A 20,646-nucleotide genomic window follows, 5' to 3' on the forward strand; every position below is an offset into this window, starting at 1 on the left:
GGCTCAAGCGATCCTCCTGCCTCTGCTTCCTGAGTAGCTGGGAATACAGGTGCATGTCACCACATCCAGCTAATTAAAAAAAAATTTTTTTTTTTTAGAGACAGGTTCTTGCTATGTTGCCCAGGCTGGTCTTGAATTCCTGGACTCAAGCGACTCTCCCGCCTCAGCCTCCCAGAGTGCTGGGATTACAGGTACACGCCACCATGCCTGGCATGCTTTTCCCTTTCTTTAAGTGAAAAAGCAGCGGCTCATGTTTGTAATCCCAGCACTTTGGGAGGCTGAGGTGGGAGCATCACTTGAGCCCAGGAGTTCAAGACCAGCCGTGACAACAGAGCAAGATCCCATCTCTACAAAATAAAAAAATCAGCTGGGCGTAGTGGTGCGCGCCTGTATTCCCAGCTACTTGGAATGCTGAGGTGAGAGACTCGCTTGAGCCTAGGAGGTTGAAGCTGCAGTGAGCTGTGATTGCACTCCTGCTCTCCAGCCTGGGTGACAGAGCAAGACCCTGTCTCAAAAAAAAAAAAAAAGAAGAAAGAAAAGGATGAAAGGAAGGGAGGGAGGGAAAGAGAGAGAGAGAAAGGAAGAAACGAAGGAAGGGAAAGAGAGAAAGACAGGTAGGGAAAGAGAGAGAGAGAGAGAGGAAGGAGGGAGGGAGGGAAGGAGGAAGAAAGGAAGGAAGGAATCGATGGTATTGGGAGATAAATTTAAACAATGCTTTACCCCTTGCTTCTGTCCTCTCACAGTAGGAGGTGTCGGGCACTGTTGTGTTGGCTGCCTTGAAGACTCGCCTCATCCCTGCATTTGCTGACCAGCAGCACTGATCCTTCTGGTCCCACAAGCAATGTGGTCTTCCCAGATGCTGGGTCACACTGATTGTTTTATTTCTTTGGGTCATTTCTGTCATCATGCCAGGATGAGCTATTTATCCTGGCCCTATGGTTTAGGTTAAAAGGCAGTAGTATTGGGGGCAGTGTACAAAATTCTTTCTGTGGAAACATACTTTTTTGATACAGTTTATTCTGGCCTCCTTTGAAAACTCTCTCGCCACACCTCCAGATCGCTCCCTTTCTACCACAGCTGCAGGCATAGAGGGAAAAAAACTTGTTTTGCAAGATGGTTTTGCATTATAAAAGTGATAACAAGGATATTAGGAAAAAAATTATACAATAGAAAAAGATAGACATTTTGTGAATATAGACATGTGGAAAGAAAGCAAGCAAGTCCACTGAACTTTCCCTCCTCCCAGCATAAACCCCCCTCCAGCCCTAAGGAAATACAATGATGTATTCCATTATAGGTTTTTATACAGATTTCCCAAGACAAAGTTGATGTCTATATTGCATTTCCAATTTTGCATCCTGACTTTTTAACTTGATGTTAGGTCACACATATTTTTCCATATTGTTTTAAATCTCCCAACACAGCCTCCTTTCCTAAGATAATAACAGGCTTTTGTTGAGTAGACTAAACAAAGCCTCCTAAAGGCTCTGAGAATAGGATTTGATAGATAAAAATCAAGAAGGAGGAAGGTTCCAGGCAGAAAAGTCAGCTTGCAGAAAGACAGGAGGTGGAGACACCTGGCCATGTTTAAAACATGGAGTTGACCAGCTTGATGAGCACGTAGCCTGTCCATAGATTGAGCTGCCTCTTGAGTGCTGGGTTCTGGAAGATGCGGGGTGGGGCTTTAGGGCAAAGATGAATTAGGAAACTACATTAGTTCTGGTCAGAGGCATGAGACTGTGTGAGGCTGGCACAGGAGGCATGGATAGAGTGGGAATGAAGAATCTACTGACCTTGACAATGGATTATATAGGGGGTGGATGGAATCAAAGAAGAACATTACAGTTAGAGTCTATGAAAAGCTATGGCACCTTTAACAGAAATAGGAACACTTAGAGGCGTGCTAGAAGAGGGACACTGGGGCTGGGTGCAGTGGCATGCACTTGTAGTTCTAGCTACTCAGGAGGCTGAAGTGGGAGAATCGCTCGAGCCCAGGAGTTCAAGGCTGCAGTGAGCTAGGATTGCATCACTGTACTCCAGCCTGGGTGACAGAGCAAGACCCCAACTCAGAAAAAAAGGACATTGGGAATTGAGTTTGGGACATGCTGGCTTGAGGGGGCAGGGCCTCCGAATGGCAGGCTGTTAGGGAAATGAGTCTGGAACTCAGATCAAAGGCATGGCTTGAGACGAAAGATGTTTGAACTCAGTCATACAAAAGTCATGATTGAAGCTACAGAAACAAGCATATTTTCTGAGGAAGAGTGTAGGCCAGGTGCAGTGGCTCTCAGCTGTAATCCCAGCACTTTGGGAGGCCGAGACGGGAGGATCACTTGAGGTCAGGAGTTCGAGGCTGCAGTGAGCCATGATTGTGCCACTGCATTCCAACCTGGGTGACACAGGGAGATGCTGTCTCTTAAAAAATACAGAAAATCATAAGAGAAAACAAATTTTCTACTTATTAAGTGGAAGTGGGTGATCATCAAGGTCTTCATCCTCATTGTGTTCATGCTGAGTAAGTGGAGGAGGAGAGGGGAGAGGAAGGTTTTGCTGTGTCAAGGGTGGCAGTGGAGGAAAATCCGTACATAAGTGGCCCCGCACAGTTCAAACCTGTATTGCTCAAGGGTCAACTGTATTTCAGACAGCACCCACGAGGAATCATCTGGAAAATGTAAGTGGCCAGACAGTGCGTTCCCCAGAGGCTGCTGCATGGAGTGTGTGTACACGCGGGTTCTGGATGTTTCCATCTAGCGCTCTTCACAAAAGCACAGCGGATAAAACAATAAAAGCAGGGCTTTTGAGAATCTGGAATACAGATTTTTGGTAACTCCCAAGCGGCCCTGCCTTTGTCTCTCTCCACAGCTCCTTTGGCCCATACCCCCCTCCCCTGATTCCCCCATCACTGAGAGAACATGGGGCAGAGCACATGAAAACCGTAATACCTCCCTGTAAGCCAGGGGCTGCCCTCAAAGCTCCACAGGCATTATTTCCCTCGCCCACTCCATGGCCTCAAGAGACTGACACGGAACACCTCCAGCCCTAGACAGGAGGAAGCAGCGGGGCTTGCTTGGTTAGGTGACTGGCTGAAGGTTGCATGCAAATTTCAGTTTCCTGATTCTGACCTACACCAAGGGCTTTACAACAGGTTCCAGGAAGAGAAGAAACACTCCCATGTTGAATGCACAGTGTTCCATAGTGCAAGATGATCCCGACCGTGGAAACATGAAAACATGAAGCAAAGAGTGTGTCATAGAATTGAAGGATAGGCACTTAGTGGGAGCCCGGCATGGCATTTTGAGGCTGGGGATGTGGGAGGGTGGGGCTGCCCCTCTCATGCCCACAGTCTGGTGGGGAAGAGGTTGGAGGTGCGGAGGGAACAGCAGGGCCTGTGACATGAGAGAGTGAGGGGCCTTGCTCAGCGATCAGGGCCTGGAAAAGAATCTGTCCATGGCAAATCATTAACGTTTCTGTTTGAAAAGCTCTGAGTGTATCATGACACATGAGGTCGAATCCCTAAGACTTCACAGCGCTCTCCATCATCACACAGCTCTTGGGGGGTGGGGGGCACTGTTCCCATCCCACTGCAGCCATGCTGGGGTGGCGGGTCCCCTCCTGCATGTCCGACTCGCTCATCTCTCCGATGCAAGTACTTTGTCCCTCCTCCAGGGCACACACGTTCCTTACTGTGGCACCTTCCTGCCCCCTGAGCTGCTTGGGGGCCCGGGCTGCCTCATCTTCATCCCACTCTCTCAGCACGAGCCTGATGAGCAGCCAGCCCCCAGCACAGGGCTGTGCAGGGAGAAGCCTGCAGTCCTTTCCGCCTCCCCAGAAAGTTGTTTAATTCCCCTGTGACGGGTCGTTTTCCCACTAGCCAGGGGAAGATCTAGCAGCTACTGTGCTTAGAGCATTCATAGGAAATAAAAGGGCAGCCCTTGATAGCTGACGTCATGCTTTTTGGACTGACTCCTTCCTTCTTCCCTCCCTCCCTCTTAAACCTTCTTCGTGGAGACCCTGCCACCTACAGTGTGGATGGAGAGAGTGGAAATGGAGAGTCTCATTTTCCACGGGACTTTCTGTCTAGGGAGACGCAGGCATTGATCAGATGGTCACCCGTCTGTTTTGTTATAAACTGTGATAAGTCTGTGAAGTTAAAATATGAGGGACCAGGAGAGCAGATGTCAGAGAAACCTGACTGCCTGTGTACCCATGGTGTGTGTGCGTGTGAGGAGGTACAGGGAGGGTCAGGGGTGTGTTTGCTGCAGTGCTGTTTGAGCTAAGATCTAGAGGATGAGCAGGAGCCGGGTAGACAAAGTTCTTTGGTAGAACTGGGTTCTGAAAGTTATGTGAGAGATTTTTGCCAGTGGGTAAATTATTAATTACAAGACATAAAATGCCATTCGGATTAGCCTGAGTAAGTGGGGGGTTGTTATGTCACACTGGAATCTGAGGGCAGGAAATAAAACTGCAGCTGGGCATGGACCTGGGTGGGCTGGAACCAAGGTCTCTTTGGGCCATATCCCCTGCCCCTCTCTGTCTCTTTTTCTCTGTCTGCCTCTTTCTCTCTCTACCCCCTCCCTCTCCCTACCCACCGACTTATCATCAGTGGCATGTCTAGAGCTGGGACTAGAATCCCAGTTTCCATGTCCTAGTCTTTCCATAGATTTTACACAGGTCACTTAGGAAGTGTGTAGCTCTGAGAAACTACAGGTTAAAAATGGCCAGTGAAGTAGAGTTTTGCATCTGTTGATCCTTGGGTAGTTGCTGTGGCAGTTTTTTGTTTTTGTTTTTGTTTTTTTTTGAGACTTGAGCCTCGCTCTGTGCCCCAGGCTGGAGTGCAGTGGCGCGATCTCGGCTCACTGCAACCTCCACCTCCCGGTTCAAGTGATTCTCCTGCCTCAGCCTCCTGAGTAGCTGGGATTACAAGTGCGTGCCACCACACCCAGCTAATTTTTGTATCTTTAGTAGAGACGGGGTTTCACCATGTTGGCCAGGCTGGTCTTGAACTCCTGACCTCAAGCTATCCACCTGCCTTGGCCTCCCAAAGGACCGAGATTACAGGGGTGAGCCACTGCACCCGGCCTGTGGCAGATTTTTAATCACATAAGTGAGCGCTCTCTGGACTCCACATCAATAATGACTTTTGGGGGTAAAATGCATTATACAAATTCATTATCTCACCTAATCCCCACAAAAGACCTATACATAAGGTAGGTATTATGTAGTCTTATTTTCAAGTGATGGAACCAAGGCTCAAGAGGTTGCATTTTGTCTAAGTTAATTCTAACAATGTGGAGTTGTCAGAATGCCTATAAAACGCCATCCCGAGCTGTGCTCTCCACTCTTCGCTGTGAGTAGGGAGCGCTCAGCGAGTGTCCACGCCAGCCAACGAGTGTGAGCTCTCAGTCCTCACAACATCCCACAGATGGGGAAAGTGGGGTTCAGAGAGGTAAAGGACCATCCAGAGGCATAATTTGGGGTCAGTTTGTAATTTGAATCTGGGAACGTCTATTGCCAGAGTCCAAGCTCTTAAATGTCACCTTTGGTGTGTCTGCTTCTAGCAGTTCACCAAAACACATCTCAGTGTCCTTCTAGACTGACCTGGGATGTGCAGCTGACAAGTTGCTCTCATGCCTTCCAGGTTGCCCCTCTACCTGGCCTCCCTCTTCATCAGCCTTGTTTTCCTGTTGGTGAATTTAACCTGTGCTGTGCTGGTAAAGACGGGAAATTGGGAGAGGAAGGTTATCGTCTCTGTGCGAGTGGCCATTAATGACACGCTCTTCGTGCTGTGTGCCGTCTCTCTCTCCATCTGTCTCTACAAAATCTCTAAGATGTCCTTAGCCAACATTTACTTGGAGTCCAAGGTAGGTGGAAATGTGGTCAAGATCCCTCCCATGAAACGTGTTCTAAAAAGAGTTTCCTGGTTTGCAAAAGTACATTTTGATGAATTTTAGACTTGATTTTGCCTTGACTTTCTCCGTTTTATTGTCTCCCACACAGGGGCTACTCGAGGTTTTTTTTTTTTTTTTTTTTTTTTTTTTTTGAGACGGAGTCTCACTCTGTCTCCCAGGCTGGAGTGCAGTGGGGTGATCTCGGCTCACTGCAAGCTCCGCCTCCCAGGTTCACGCCATTCTCCTGCCTCAGCCTCCTGAGTAGCTGGGACTACAGGCACCCACCACTACGCCTGGCTAATTTTTTGTATTTTTAGTAGAGACGGGGTTTCACTGTGTTAGCCAGGATGGTCTCAATCTCCTGACCTTGTGATCCACCTGCCTCGGCCTCCCAAAGTACTGGGATTACAGGTGTGAGCCACCGCGCCCGCACTACTCAAGGCTTTTAACAACAGAACTGTGGTTTTTAATAGGAAGGGTTGAATCATAGGTTGTCAGAATACCACTGAGCTCACCCCTATGGCACACAAGCTAACAAAGCACTACTGGCAAAAGAAAATAATATCTTAGGTTTAGTTAATGACTGTCTAATACAGTACTCAAAAGTCAGTTTTAGTTTTTTGGTCATGTTAACTATCCATTTTGAGCCAGGGGTCTTTTAACTGTCTTTGGAAATTGATAGCTTCATAACGTGGGGCACAAATCACTGATTTCCAGGTAATTCCGAGTCCAAAGTCACATTAGGGCTCCTGTATTCCCGGCCTCAAAGATTCCAGACAGAGCCGTCCTGAGCTCTGCCCCAGCCATTGTCCCTCTGAGATTGTTTACTTGCCTCCTTGAGCCAGAGGCCCTGGCCCCGGGCTCACCTGCTGCGTGTGGAAGCCAAGAAGATCCTCTTGGAGCTGAGCAGTGGCCATCAGAGATTTAGCAAAGCAGCCATCTGACTTTCTTGCTCGTACACTCTAGGCCACGGGAAAATGGTGCATATTTTAACCCTGTTAAAGGCATCTCCAAACCAAGTCCCAGGGTCCATATGAAGACACTTGAAATTGTAGGAAGAAGGAGTGTGAAAAGGACTCTGATGGAAGACCCAACAAGATCACAGTGCTCTGAGATCCCAAAGGGCTTTACCAGACTGATAGCAGGTGGGGGCTGGGGAAGGGGCTGGTGTCTTGGACCTGGAGTGTCCCATACCTTCTGCTCCCTCTTTTCCAGGGCTCCTCCGTGTGTCAAGTGACTGCCATCGGTGTCACCGTGATACTGCTTTACACCTCTCGGGCCTGCTACAACCTGTTCATCCTGTCATTTTCTCAGAACAAGAGCGTCCATTCCTTTGATTATGACTGGTACAATGTATCAGACCAGGTCAGTGGGGGCGCTGAGGAGGTGTCACCTGACCAGGGACTCTTGGTATCCTCGAGGCATTGGTTCCAGGACCCCAGAAAATACCAAAATCTGGATGCTCAAGTCCCTGATATAAAATGGTGTAGTATCTGCATATAACCTACACGCATCCTTCTGTATACTTTAAATTAATCTCTAGATGATTTACAATACCAAATACAACACAAATGCTATGTAAACAGTTGTTATACTACATTGTTTGAAAATTTCTATTTTTAATTGTTATTAGTATTTTTTATTTTCAAATATTTTTGATCCGTGGATGGTTGAGTCTGCAGATGTGGAACCCGCTGATATGGAGGGCCGACTGTTTGCATTTCAGTGGTTCACATGGGAGACAAGTCCATGGTCCTTGTTTCTGCTGGTGAATGACTGAGTGACCTTGAGAGGTCACTTCCCTGTGTGGCATCTGAACTCATCTGTCAGATGGGATCACAGCACCTGCCTTGTTCCCTTTTGAGAAAACCAGGAGATTACATATTTGTGTGTATGTATCCACATACATGTGTACACACATACTTTGCACTCCATTCTCCCTCTTAGGGCTTTTATTAAGCAGTACTTAATTTTTTTTTTTTTTTTTTGAGACGGAGTTTCACTCTTGTTGCCCAGGCTGGAGTGCAATGGCGCGACCTGCCTCCCAGGTTCAAGCAATTCTCCTGCGTCAGCCTCCAGAGTAGCTGGGATAACAGGCACCCACTACCATACCTGGCTAATTTTTTGTATTTTTAGTAGAGATGGGGTTTCACCATGTTGGCCAGGCTGGTCTCGAACTCCTACCTCAGGTGATCCACCTGCCTCGGCCTCCCACAGTGCTAGGATTACAGGCGTAAGCCACTGTGCCAGCCAGTACTTAATTTTTTTAACATGCTTCCATATAAATGTAAGATGATATTATTAAAGGGTGACATTTGCAGATAGTAAGCAAATTGTATTCAGACTTTAGAAAATACATAGGACTATGAAGTTATGAGAATGTTTTTGTTTTTTTTGTCATCCTCAGGGAGTGAATTTTTTTTAATGGAGCACGTACACAGCATTTGAGAAAATCTAGACAAAAGTGACTGAGGATATTAAAGTTTTATAAAAGCTCATGGCACTAGTTGTTGCAATATGATACTCTTTTTAAAAATACATTCTATAAATGTATAAGTTACGAGTCATAAAGCAAATGAACAAAGGTAGTGAAATGTCATCTGCCATCCATGCTCACAAAAACTCAAAGCAACAATGAGAATGAACCACCATTCACTCATTTGACAAACAGCATTTTTTTTTTTTCCTCATCTTGGGCACTGTGCAAAGTGCCAGGGATACAAAACCGAACAGACTCATTCCCTGCCCTTTGGGAGCTTTATGGTCCACTAAGGAAAAGAGACACACAGATTAGCCATTAACAATAAAGAAATGTAACTTCTCTATTATACATTTATTAGATTGATTGGCAAATGTTCCTTAGCTTTTCTTGGAAAAGTATTGAATACCTAACCATCTATAAATCTTCTAACATCTCAATAGTGCTCAAACCCTGAGCTGGATTTAGACAGTGGAAGAAAGAATAAAATGATCATGATAAGCTAAACCTGTGAGGACAAGGTAAAATTGTGTTGTAATTAGAAAGGATTAAAACCACATCTCTGAACCCAAACCAACACCACAAACACAGGATGGCAGAAAGCTGGGCAAGGCACTGCTAAGGGCGTGCACTATTTTGAGGAAATCAAGTATATGAAAATCTAAACTTTAAACAATGATTAATTAGAGACAATCATAATACACAAAGGATTTGATTTTGTATTGTAGTAAAATACACATAATATTTGCTATTTTTTTTTTTTTTTTTTGAGACGGAGTCTCTCTCTGTCACCAGGCTGGAGTGCAGCCGCACAATCTTGGCTCACTGCAACCTCCGCCTCCCGGGTTCAAGCGATTCTTCTGCCTCAGCCTCCTGAGTAGCTGGGAATACAGGCAAGCGCCACCATGCCGGCTAATTTTTTTGTATTTTTAGTAGAGACGGGTTTCATCATATAGGCCAGGCTGGTCTTGAACTCCTGACCTCATGATCCGCCCACCTCGGCCTCCCAAAGTGCTGGGATTATAGGCGTCAGCCACCGTTGGCTGGCCCTATTTTAACCATTTTTAAGTGTACAGTTCACTGGTATTAAGTACACTCAGTGTTGTGCAGCCATCATCACCATCCATCTCTAGAATTTTTTCATCTTCCTAAACTGAAACTCTGTATCCATTAAATAACAAAGATTTGGGTTTAACAAAGTTACTTCAGTTTTTCTTCAAGTAAGAATGCATGGGTGCTCTGCCTATAAACTCTATATATGGAGGAGTGGCCATTCTTTCTTTACTTTCCTAATCTTGCTTTCACTTAAAAACAACAAAAAAAATTTATGGGTGGGTGCAGTGGCCTGTAATCCCAGCATTTTGGGAGGATCACTTGAGGCCAGAAGTTTGAGACCAGCCCTGGCAACATAGCAAGACCTCATCTCTACAAAAAATAAAAAATTAAAATTAAAAAATAACCCAGGCATGTTGGCACACACCTGTAGTCCTAGCTGCTTGGAGGGATCACTTGAGCCCAGGAGCTGAAGGCTGCAGTGAGGTGTGATCGCACCACTGCACTCCATCCTGGGTGACAGAGCAAGACCCTGTCTCAAACAAACAAACAAAAAATATATATATAAAATTTATAATTGCAGTGGATTTAAAATATGACAATCTTTAAAATTCTTCTATTTTTATGGGATATTTATGGTTATCTAGATGTGTGTTGCCACCAAAATAATCTAGGAGCAAGCAAAACAAATGACCACAGTTGTATGACTTACTTGTGCGGAATCAAAAAAGAACACATGATGGAGATGTGATATAGAGGAAGTAAGAGAGTGATCTTTCTGAAAGAAGCATGCGTAGTTTTGGTCACCATGCTTTAAGTATGATGTTATAGAGAAGGCAAAAGGGTTAAGTTTAGGTGTTTGGGCCTTTACGATTGCCCAAACCCAACCATGTGCTTTCCTCAGGAACCTTCTGTCTGTTCTGAAGAGAGAACACTGCTCCACCAAGCTCTCTGGCCATCTCACTGGGCCTCATACCAAACACCTTAGGCTCTGTGGATTGTTTTTCTAGACAAGCTAGCCTACAGTACGCTTTAAAGGGTAAACAACAGGATATGGTTTATGTGAAGAAACATTTGAAAGTTGACCTCTTTATCCTAGGGATGAGACTAAGGGATAATAGTTGTATGCTGCTCCCAAGAATTTAGGAGGAGGCAACATAACCTTCTCACTATTCAATTGTTGAAGAAAATCAGCTTAGATTTAAGTGAGAGTGTTAATTTGGACTTAAGAGTTTTGGGGGCATGAAATATTAAAACATCAGAGGTTAGAAGTTTCTGTCTTTGAATATTTTGAAGAAGAAGATAATCATTTATCTCATATGGTTTAAAAAATCCGTATCTGAGGTCTAGACCATTACTATTATCTGATTTCAATGTGCATATTTTAGGAGAATGTACTATACTATATTTTAATACTTTAAATAGAAGTATTAATATAGTATATTCGGTAGTACATTCTAAAATATAGGGGAATGAATTGTACTAGAGTATTAGAATTATTCTCTGTTCACATTAGAAAGAAACAATCAAATTTATTTCCTCTTCCCTTGGTCTGATGACTCTCCCTGTCTGTTTCTAACAGGCAGATTTGAAGAATCAGCTGGGAGATGCTGGATACGTATTATTTGGAGTGGTGTTATTTGTTTGGGAACTCTTACCTACCACCTTAGTCGTTTATTTCTTCCGAGTTAGAAATCCTACAAAGGACCTTGTAAGTAAACCATTTTACATTTGTAAGAAAATGTCTCCTAATTCTGATCATGGAACCTGCAATTAGAACTTTTTCTTCATTTTTCAGAAGAGAGCCTCTTCCTTTTGTGGTGGTATGAAAAGTTTCCTTGACTATTTTATTGAGACATTCATTTCCCTTATCTTTTGAGGGAAAATGGTTTTCAGCTTAGTTTTATTTTACAAAAGAAATGAAACTATTATAAGTTGCATCTTAAGGCCTGGGGAAAGTGATTAACTATTTCTTTTAATGCACCATTGCCTCATTAGTATTTGAGACTTGGACTTGCTGTGAACCAAGTATAGAAGCTTCTCTCATAGCAAAGGAAAATAGAGAATAGAGAAACAGAAATAGGAAATAGAGAACACTCATAGGAAATAGTATGCCGGATGGCGACTAGGGAATGGGAGGATAGGGCAATAAGAGACATCATTGTAAGGAATGCTAAACCTGCTCCCCTAGTTTGGTCACATTGCTGTTCAACCAACTTTATATGAATGTCTTTATGGGACAGGACAGAAAATGCAAAACCAAGTAGCGTGAGAAACCACCTGGGAGCCTTGTTCCGTAAATTATTCCAGCCACACAAACTAGTGGTAGCTTTTTGACTTACTGATCTATGAAACCCATAGAAAAGTACAGTGAGTGGATTTGGGGCAATGTGAGCAAAGAGCGGGTGGTGAAGAAGGCATAGATGAGTAATGTCCTCCAATAATTCACAGTTCTTATTTCATACCCAGATGACTGACCTGTTTTTTTATCTTGTTTTTGGAAGCCGCCAGGCTTCAAACCAAGCATTCTGGTTCCAGAGTCAATGGTGGTTTTTTTTGTTTGTTTGCTTTTTGGTTTTTTTTTCTTTTGAGATGAAGTCTTGCTCTGTCACCCAAGCTGGAGTGTAGTGGCGCGATCTCAGCTCACTGCAACCTCCGCCTCCCGGGTTTAAGCGATTCTCCTGCCTCAGCCTCCCAAGTAGCTGGGAATACAGATGCACGCCACCATGCCTGGGTAATTTTTGTATTTTTAGTAGAGACAGGGTTTTACTATGTTGGCCAGGCTGGTCTCGAACTCCTGACCTCAGGTGATCCGACCGCCTCAGCCTCCCAAAGTGCTGGGATTACAGGCGTGGGCCACCGCACCCGTCTGAGTTCATGGTTTTAATCCCTGTGCTACACTGTAGCTTTCTCTGGCATCATAAGGTTTTGAGAAGAAATTATATTCTTAATATAGATGACCTAATAGTCCTATCTATAACTTCTGTAATTACATGGGAAAAAAGTCTAATACTCTTGGGGGGAAATCTATAACTCAAACCCTTCAACTTTAAAGGAATACACTGCAGGTGGGGCATTTCTTAAAAATGTCATCTAACATTTGTATCCATAATTCATTTGGTACAAACAGGTCTCTAAACTTGGCATGATTAGAGCCAGACTTCAGAGTCTAGGTAACGAGATACTCAAAGTGCGGCTCTTTACCATCTGTATCCGAATCCCTCAGGGCGCTTGGTGTAAAGATTCTTAGGTCATGTTGGAGACCCAGACCAGAATCTCTGGGGTAGGTTCCGGGAATGTACATTTTTAATAAGCACTCCAAGTGATCTGAATGAACTGTAAAGTTTGAGAATCTCTGTCCTTATCCTTTTCTTTTTTGAGACAGGGTCTTGCTCTGTCACCCAGGCTGGAGTGCAGTGGCACGATCACAGCTCACCTCAGCCTTGACCTCCTGGGCTTAAGCGATTCTCTTGCCTTAGTCTTGCATGTAGCTGGGATTACTTGCATGAGCCGTGTTGCCCAGGCTGGTCTCAAACTCCTGGCTGTTTTTTGTCTTTTAAAAACAGCTTTATTGAGATGTAACTCACTTACATAATTCACCCATTTCATGTGTATAATTGAGTGGTTTGGGGGATATTCACATATGTGCAACCATCACCACAGCCAATTTTAGAACACTTTCATCATCTCAAAAGGAAACCCCATACTATCATCTGTCATTCCCCATTTCCTTTCTGTCCCTGCCCTACCCCCAGGCATAAGCCACTATAATCTCCTGTGTCTATAGATTTCCCTAGTCTCGACTTTCATATGAATGGAATCATATGGCATGTGGGTTTTTTGACTGGCTTCTTTCACTTAGCAGAATGTTTTTTCAAGATTCGTCTACGTTGTAACATATATTTGTACTTAATTCTTTTTTATTGCCAAATAAATATTTCATTGTATGGATAGACCACATTTTGCTTACCCATTCATCCATTGATGGACATCATTTTTTTTTATTATTATACTATATATTATATATAATATAATATATAATAATATAAATAATATATAATATATATTATATATTATATATAATAATATAAATAATATATAATATATATTATATATAATAATATAAATAATATATAATTATATATATTATATAATATATATTATTAAGTTCTGGGGTACATGTGCAGAATGTGTAGTTTTGTTACATGGGTATACATGAGCTGTGGTGGTTTGCTGCACCCATCAACCCATCACCTACATGAGGTATTTCTCCTAATGCTCTCCCTCCCCTACCTCCCCACCCCCCTACAGGCCCCAGTGTGTGATGTTCCCCTCCCTGTGTCCATGTGTTCTCATTGTTCAATTCCCACTTATGAGTGAGAACATGCGGTGTTTGGTTTTCTGTTCTTGTGTCAGCTTGCTGAGAATGATGGTTTCCAGCTTCATCCATGTCCCTGCAAAGGACATGAACTCATCCCTTTTTATGGCTGCATAGTATTCCATGGTATGTATGTGCCACATTTTCTTTATCCAGTCTATCATTGATGGACATTTGGGTTGGTTCCAAGTCTTTGCTCTTGTGAATAGTGCTGCAGTAAACATACGTGTGCATGTACATGTGCATGTGTCTTTATAGTGGAATGATTTATAATCCTTTGGGTATATACCCAGTAGTGGCATTGCTGGGTCAAATGGTATTTCTAGTTCTAGATCCTTGAGGAATTGCCACACTGTCTTCCACAATGGTTGAACTAATTTACACTACCACCAACAGTGTAAAAGCGTTCCTGTTTCTCCATGTCCTCTCCAGCATCTGTTGTTTCCTGACTTTTTAATGATCGCCATTCTAACTGCTGTGAGATGGTATCTCATTGTAGTTTTGATTTGCATTTCTCTGATGACCAGTGATGAGCATATTTTTCATGTTTATTGGCTGCACTTCTTTTGAGAAGTATCTGTTCATATCCTTTGCCCACTTTTTGATGGGGTTGTTTTTTTCCTGTAAATTTAAGTTCTTTGTAGATTCTGGATATTAGCCCTTTGTCAGATGGATAGATTGCAAAAATTTTCTCCCATTCTGTAGGTTGCCTGTTTACTCTGATGATAGTTTCTTTTGCTGTGCAGAAGCTCTTTAATTTAATTAGATCCCATTTGTCAATTTTGGCTTTTGTTGCCATTGCTTTTGGTGTTTTAGAATGAAGTCTTTGCCCATGCCTATGTCCTGAATGGTATTGCCTAGGTTTTCTTCTAGGATTTTTATGGTTTTAGGTCTTACGTTTAAGTCTTTAATCCATCTTGAGTTAACTTTTGTATAAGGTGTAAGGAAGGGGTCCAGTTTCAGTTTTCTGCATATGGCTACCCAGTTTTCCCAACACCATTTATTAAATAGGAAATCTTTCCCCATTGCTTGTTTGTGTCAGGTTTGTCAAAGATCAGATGGTTGTACATGTGTGGTATTATTTCTGAGGCTTCTGTTCTGTTCCATTGGTCTATATATCTGTTTTGGTACCAGTACCATGCTGTTTTGGTTACTGTAGCCTTGTAGCATAGTTTGAAATCAGGTAGCATGATGCCTCCAGCTTTGTTCTTTTTGCTTAGGATTGTCTCGGCTATGTGGGCCCTTCTTTGGTTCCATATGAAGTTTAAAGTAGTTTTTTCCAATTCTGTGAAGAAAGTCAGTGGTAGCTTGATGGGGATAGCATTGAATCTGTAAATTACTTTGGGCAGTATGGCCATTTTCACAATATTGATTCTTCCTATCCATGAGCATGGAATGTTTTTCCATTTGTTTGTGTCCTCTCTTATTTCCTTGAGCAGCAGTTTGTAGTTCTCCTTGGAGAGGTCCTTCATATCCCTTGTAAGTTGTATTCCTAGGTATTTTCTTCTTTTAGTAGCAGTTGTGAATGGGAGTTCACTCATGATTTGGCTCTCTGTTATTGGTGTATAGGAATGCTTGTGATTTTTGCACATTGATTTTGTATCCTGAGACTTTGCTGAAGTTGTTTATCAGCTTAAGGAGATTTTGGGCTGAGACAGTGGGGTTTTCTAAATATATGATCATGTCATCTGCAAAAAGAGACAATTGACTTCCTCTTTTCCTATTTCAATATGCTTTCTTTCTTTCTCTTGGCTGATTGCCCTGGCCAGAACTTCCAATACTATGTTGAATAGGAGTGGTGAGAGAGGGCATCCTTGCCTTGTGCGGGTTTTCAAAGGGAATGCTTCCTGTTTTTACCCATTCAGTATGGTATTGGCTGTGGGTTTGTCATAAATAGCTATTATTTTGAGATACATTCCATCGATACCTAGTTTATGGAGAGTTTTTACCATGAACGGGTGTTGAATTTTGTCGAAGGTCTTTTCTGCATCTATTGAGATCATCATGTAGTTTTTGTCATTGGTTCTGTTTATGTGATGGATTACGTTTATTGATTTGTGTATGTCGAACCAGCCTTCTATCCCAGATATGAAGCTGACTTGATCGTGGTGGATAAGCTTTTTAATGTGCTGCTGGATTCGGTTTGCCAGTACGTTATTGAGGATTTTCACATTGATGTTCATCAGAGATATTGGTCTGAAATTTTCTTTTTGTTGTTGTGTCTCTGCCAGGTTTTGGTATTAGGATGATGCTGGCCTCATAAAATGAGTCAGGGAGGATTCCCTCTTTTTCTGTTGTTTAGAGTAGTTTCAGAAGGAATGGTACCAGCTCCTCTTTGTACCTCTGGTAGAATTCGGCTGTGAATCTTTCTGGTCCTGGACTTTTTTCGGTTGGTAGGTTATTAATTACTGCCTCAATTTCAGAACTTGTTATTGGTCTATTCAGGGATTCTACTTCTCCTGGTTTAGACTTGGGAGGGTGTATGTGTCCAGGAATTTATCCATTTCCTCTAGATCTTCTAGTTTATTTGCATAGATGTGTTTATAGTATTCTTTGATGGTAGTTTGTATTTCTGTGGGATTGGTGGTGATATCCCCTTTATCATTTTTTATTGCGTCTATTTGATTCTTCTCTCTTTTCTTCTTTATTAGTCTGGCTAGCGGTTTATCCATTTTGTTGATCTTTTCAAAAAAACCAGCTCCTGGATTCATTGATTTTTTTTGAAGGGTTTTTCGTGTCTCTATCTCCTTCAGCTCTGCTCTGATCTTAGTTATTTCTTCTGCTAGCTTTTGAATTTGTTTGCTCTTGCTTCCCAAGTTCTTTTAATTGTGATGTTAGGGTGTCAATTTTAGATCTTTCCTGCTTTCTCTTGTGGGCATTTTGTGCTGTAAATTTCCCTCTACACACTGCTTTAAATGTGTCCCAGAGATTCTGGTACATTATGTCTTTTTCTCATTGGTTTCAAAGAAGATCTTTATTTCTGCCTTAATTTTCTTACTTACCCAGTAGTCATTCAGGAGCAGGTTATTCAGTTTCCATTGGTTGTGCAGTTTTGAGTGAGTTTCTTAATCCTGAGTTCTAATTTGATTGCACTGTGGTCTGAGAGACTGTTATGATTTCTGTTCTTTTGCATTTGCTGAGCAGTGTTTTACTTCCAATTATGTGGTCAATTTTAGAATAAATGAGATGACGTGCTGAGAAGAATGTATACTCTGTTAATTTGGGGTGGAGAGTTCTGTAGATGTCTGCTAGGTCCGCTTGGTCTAGAGCTGAGTTCAAGTCCCTGAATATCCATGTTAATTACATGTCTCATTTATCTGTCTAATATTGACAGTGGGTTGTTAAAGTCTCCCATTATTGTTGTGTGGGGGTCTAAGTGTCTTTGTAGGTCTGTAAGAACTTGCTTTATGAATCTGGGTGCTCCTGTATTGGGTGCATATATATTTAGGATAGTTAGCTGTTCTTGTTGCATTGATCCCTTTACCATTATGTAATGGCCTTTTTTTGTCTCTTTTGATCTTTGTTGGTTTAAAGTCTGTTTTATCAGAGATTAGGACTGCAACTCCTGCTTCTTCTTTTTTTTTTTTTTTTTTTGCTTTCCATTTGCTTGGTAAATATTCCTCCGTCCCTTTATTTTGAGCCTATGTATGTCTTTTCACGTGAGATGGGTCTCCTGAATACAGCATAGTGATGGGTCTTGACTCTTTATCCAATTTGCCAGTCTGTGTCTTTTAATGGGGGCATTTAGCCCATTTACATTTAAGGTTAATATTGTTATGTGTGAATTTGATCCTGACATTATGATGTTAGCTGATTATTTTGCCCATTAGTTGATGCAGCTTCTTTATAGTGTTGACGGGCTTTACAATTTGATATGTTTTTGCAGTGGCTGGTACTGGTTGTTCCTTTCCATATTTAGTGCTTCCTTCAGGAGGTCTTGTAAGGCAGGCCTGGTGGTGACAAAGTCTCTCAGCATTTGCTTGTCTATAATGGATTTTATTTCTCCTTTACTTATGAAGCTTAGTTTGGCTGGATATGAAATTCTGGGTTGAAAATTTTTTTCTTTAAGAATGTTGAATATTGGCCCCCACTCTCTTTTGGCTTGTAGGGTTTCTGCAGAGACAGCTGCTCTTTGTCTGATGGGCTTCCCTTTGTGGGTAACCCGACCTTTCTGTCTAGCTGCCCTTAACATTTTTTCCTTCATTTCAACCTAGGTGAATCTGACGATTATGTGTCTGACGATTATGTGTCTTGCCCTTCTTAAGGAGTATCTTTGTGGTGTTCTCTGTATTTCCTGAATTTGAATGTTGGCCTGTCTTGCTAGGTTGGAGAAGTTCTCCTGGATAATATCCTGAAGAGTGTTTTCCAACTTGGTTCCATTCTCCCCATCACTTTCAGGTACACCAATCAAATGTAGATTTGGTCTTTTCACATAGTTCCATGTTTCTTGGAGGCTTTGTTCATTCCTTTTTATTCTTTTTTCTCTAATCTTGTCTTCTTGCTTTGTATCATTAAGTTGATCTTCAATCTCATATCCTTTCTTCCACTTGATCGATTTGGCTCTTGATACTTGTGTATGCTTCACGAAGTTCTTGTGCTATGTTTTTCAGCTCCATCAGGTCATTTATATTCTCCTCTAAAGTGGTTATTCTAGGTAGCAATTCATCTAACCTTTTTTCAAGGTTCTTAGCTTCCTTGCATTGGGTTAGAACATGCTTCTTTAGCTCGGAGGAGTTTATTATTACCCACCTTCTGAAGCGTACTTCTGTCAGTTCATCAAACTCATTCTCTGTCCAGTTTTGTTCCCTTGCTGGCGAGGAGTTGTGATCCTTTGGAGGAGAAGTGGCATTCTGGTTTTTGGAATTTTCAGCCTTTTTGTGCTGGTTTCTCCCTATCTTTGTGGATTTATCTACCTTTGGTCTTTGATGTTGGTGACCTTCGGATGGGGTCTCTGAGTGGACATGCTCTTCCTTTCTGTTTGTTAGTTTTCCTTCTAACAGTCGGACCCCTCTGCTGCAGGTCTGCTGGAGTTTGCAGGAGGTCCACTCCAGACCCTGTTTGCCTGGGTATCACCAGCGGAGGCTGCAGAACAGCAAAGATTGCTGCCTGTTCTTTCCTCTGGAAGCTTTGTCCCAGAGGGGCACCTGCCAGATGCCAGCCAGAGCTCTCCTGTATGAGGTGTCTGTCAGCCCCTACTGGGAGGTATCTCCCAGTCAGGATACATGGGGGTCATCGACCCACTGAAGGCGGCAGTCTGACCCTTAGCAGAGCCTGAACGCTGTGCTGAGAGATCTCCTTCTCTCTTCAGAGCCATCAGGCAGGCACATTTAAGTCTGCTGAAGCTGTGCCCACAGCTGCCCCTTCCCCCAAGTGCTCTGTCCCAGGGAGATGGGGGTTTTATCTATAAGTCCCTGACTGGGGCTGCTGCCTTTTTTTCAGAGATGCCCTGCCCAGAGAGGAGAAATCTGGCAGTCTGGCCACAGTGGCCTTGCTGAGCTGCCATGGGCTCTGCCCAGTTTGAACTTCCCAGCGGCTTTGTTTACACTGTGAGGGTAAAACCACCTACTCAAGCCTCAGCAATGGCGGATGTCCCTCCCCACACCAAGCTTGAGTGTCCCAGGTCGACCTCAGACTGCTTCTGTGCTGGCAGCGAGGATTTCAAACCAGTGGATCTTAGTTTGCTGGGCTCCGTTGGGGTGGGACCTACCGAGCCAGACTACTTGGCTCCCTGGCTTCAGCCCCCTTTCCAGGGGAGTGAATGGTTCTGTCTCACTGGCGTTCCAGATGCCACTGGGGTATGGGGAAAAAAAAAAAAACAAAAAACCTCCTGCAGCTGGTTCAGTGTCTGCCCAAATGGCCGCCCAGTTTTGTGCTTGAAACCTAGGGCCCTGGAGAGGTAGGCACCAGAGGGAATCTCCTGGTCTGCGGGTTGTGAAGACTGTCGGAAAAGTGCAGTATCTGGGCCGGAGTGCACAGTTCCTCAGGTTCAGTCCCTCATGGCTTCCCTTGGGTAGGGGAGAAAATTCCCTGACTCCTTGCACTTCTCGATCGAGGCGACACCCCACCCTGCTTCGGCTCACCCTCCGTGAGCTGCACCCACCGTCCAAGCAGTCCCAGTGAGAAGAACCAGGTACCTCAGTTGGAAATGCAGAAATCACCCACCTTCTGTGTCGATCTCGCTGGGAGCTGCAGACTGGAGCTGTTCCTATTCGGCCATCTAATAGGTGATATGTTTTTATCGCTGTATGACATCACTGGTTTTAAGGAATTTTAAGTTTTTCTTAAATGTTTCCTTTTTATCATTTCATTTCAAGCTTTTTTTGTTTGTTTGTTTATTTGGATACAGAGTCTGGCTCTGTCACCCAGGCTGGAGTGGAGTGGGGTGATCTCAGCTCACTGCAACCTCTGCCTCCTGGGTTCAAGCGATTCCCCTGCCTCAGACTCCCAAATAGCTGGGATTACAGGTGCCTGCTACCACGCCTGGCTAATTTTTGTATTTTTAGTAGAGATGGGGTTTCATTATGTTGGCCAGGCTGGTCTTGAACTCCTGAACTCAGGCGATCCACCTGCCTTGGCCTCCCAAAGTGCTGGGATTACAGGTGTGAGCCACTGTGCCTGGACTATAATTTCAAACTTCTTGACCCACATCAAGAAGTTTGAAATGATAAAAAGGACACATTTAAGGAAACCATTTGTGGATATGAGTGGACATTTGGGTCATTTCCACCATTTGGCTATGATGAATAAGGCTGTTATAAACATTTGTGTATAAGTTTCTGTGTGAACATATGTTTTCATTTCTCTCGGGTATATTCTTAGGAGTGGAATTGCTGGGTCATATGGTATTTCTG

At 43.3% G+C, this 20,646-nt stretch overlaps 1 protein-coding gene across 2 annotated transcripts in view; it reads left to right on the top strand.

The window, feature by feature from the left end:
- Positions 1-20,646, top strand: part of GPR137B (G protein-coupled receptor 137B) — a 66,369-nt gene that overhangs the window by 30,240 nt on the left and 15,483 nt on the right. For both annotated transcript variants that reach the window (NM_003272.4, XM_017002209.3), the window contains exons 3-5: positions 5,636-5,858; positions 7,101-7,250; positions 11,000-11,128. In NM_003272.4, the coding sequence (NP_003263.1) occupies positions 5,636-5,858; positions 7,101-7,250; positions 11,000-11,128 (502 nt within the window). The remainder of the gene's footprint in view (positions 1-5,635; positions 5,859-7,100; positions 7,251-10,999; positions 11,129-20,646) is intronic.

Source organism: Homo sapiens, chromosome 1 (genome assembly GCF_000001405.40).
Source record: "Homo sapiens chromosome 1, GRCh38.p14 Primary Assembly".
Taxonomy (NCBI): Eukaryota; Metazoa; Chordata; class Mammalia; order Primates; family Hominidae; genus Homo; species Homo sapiens.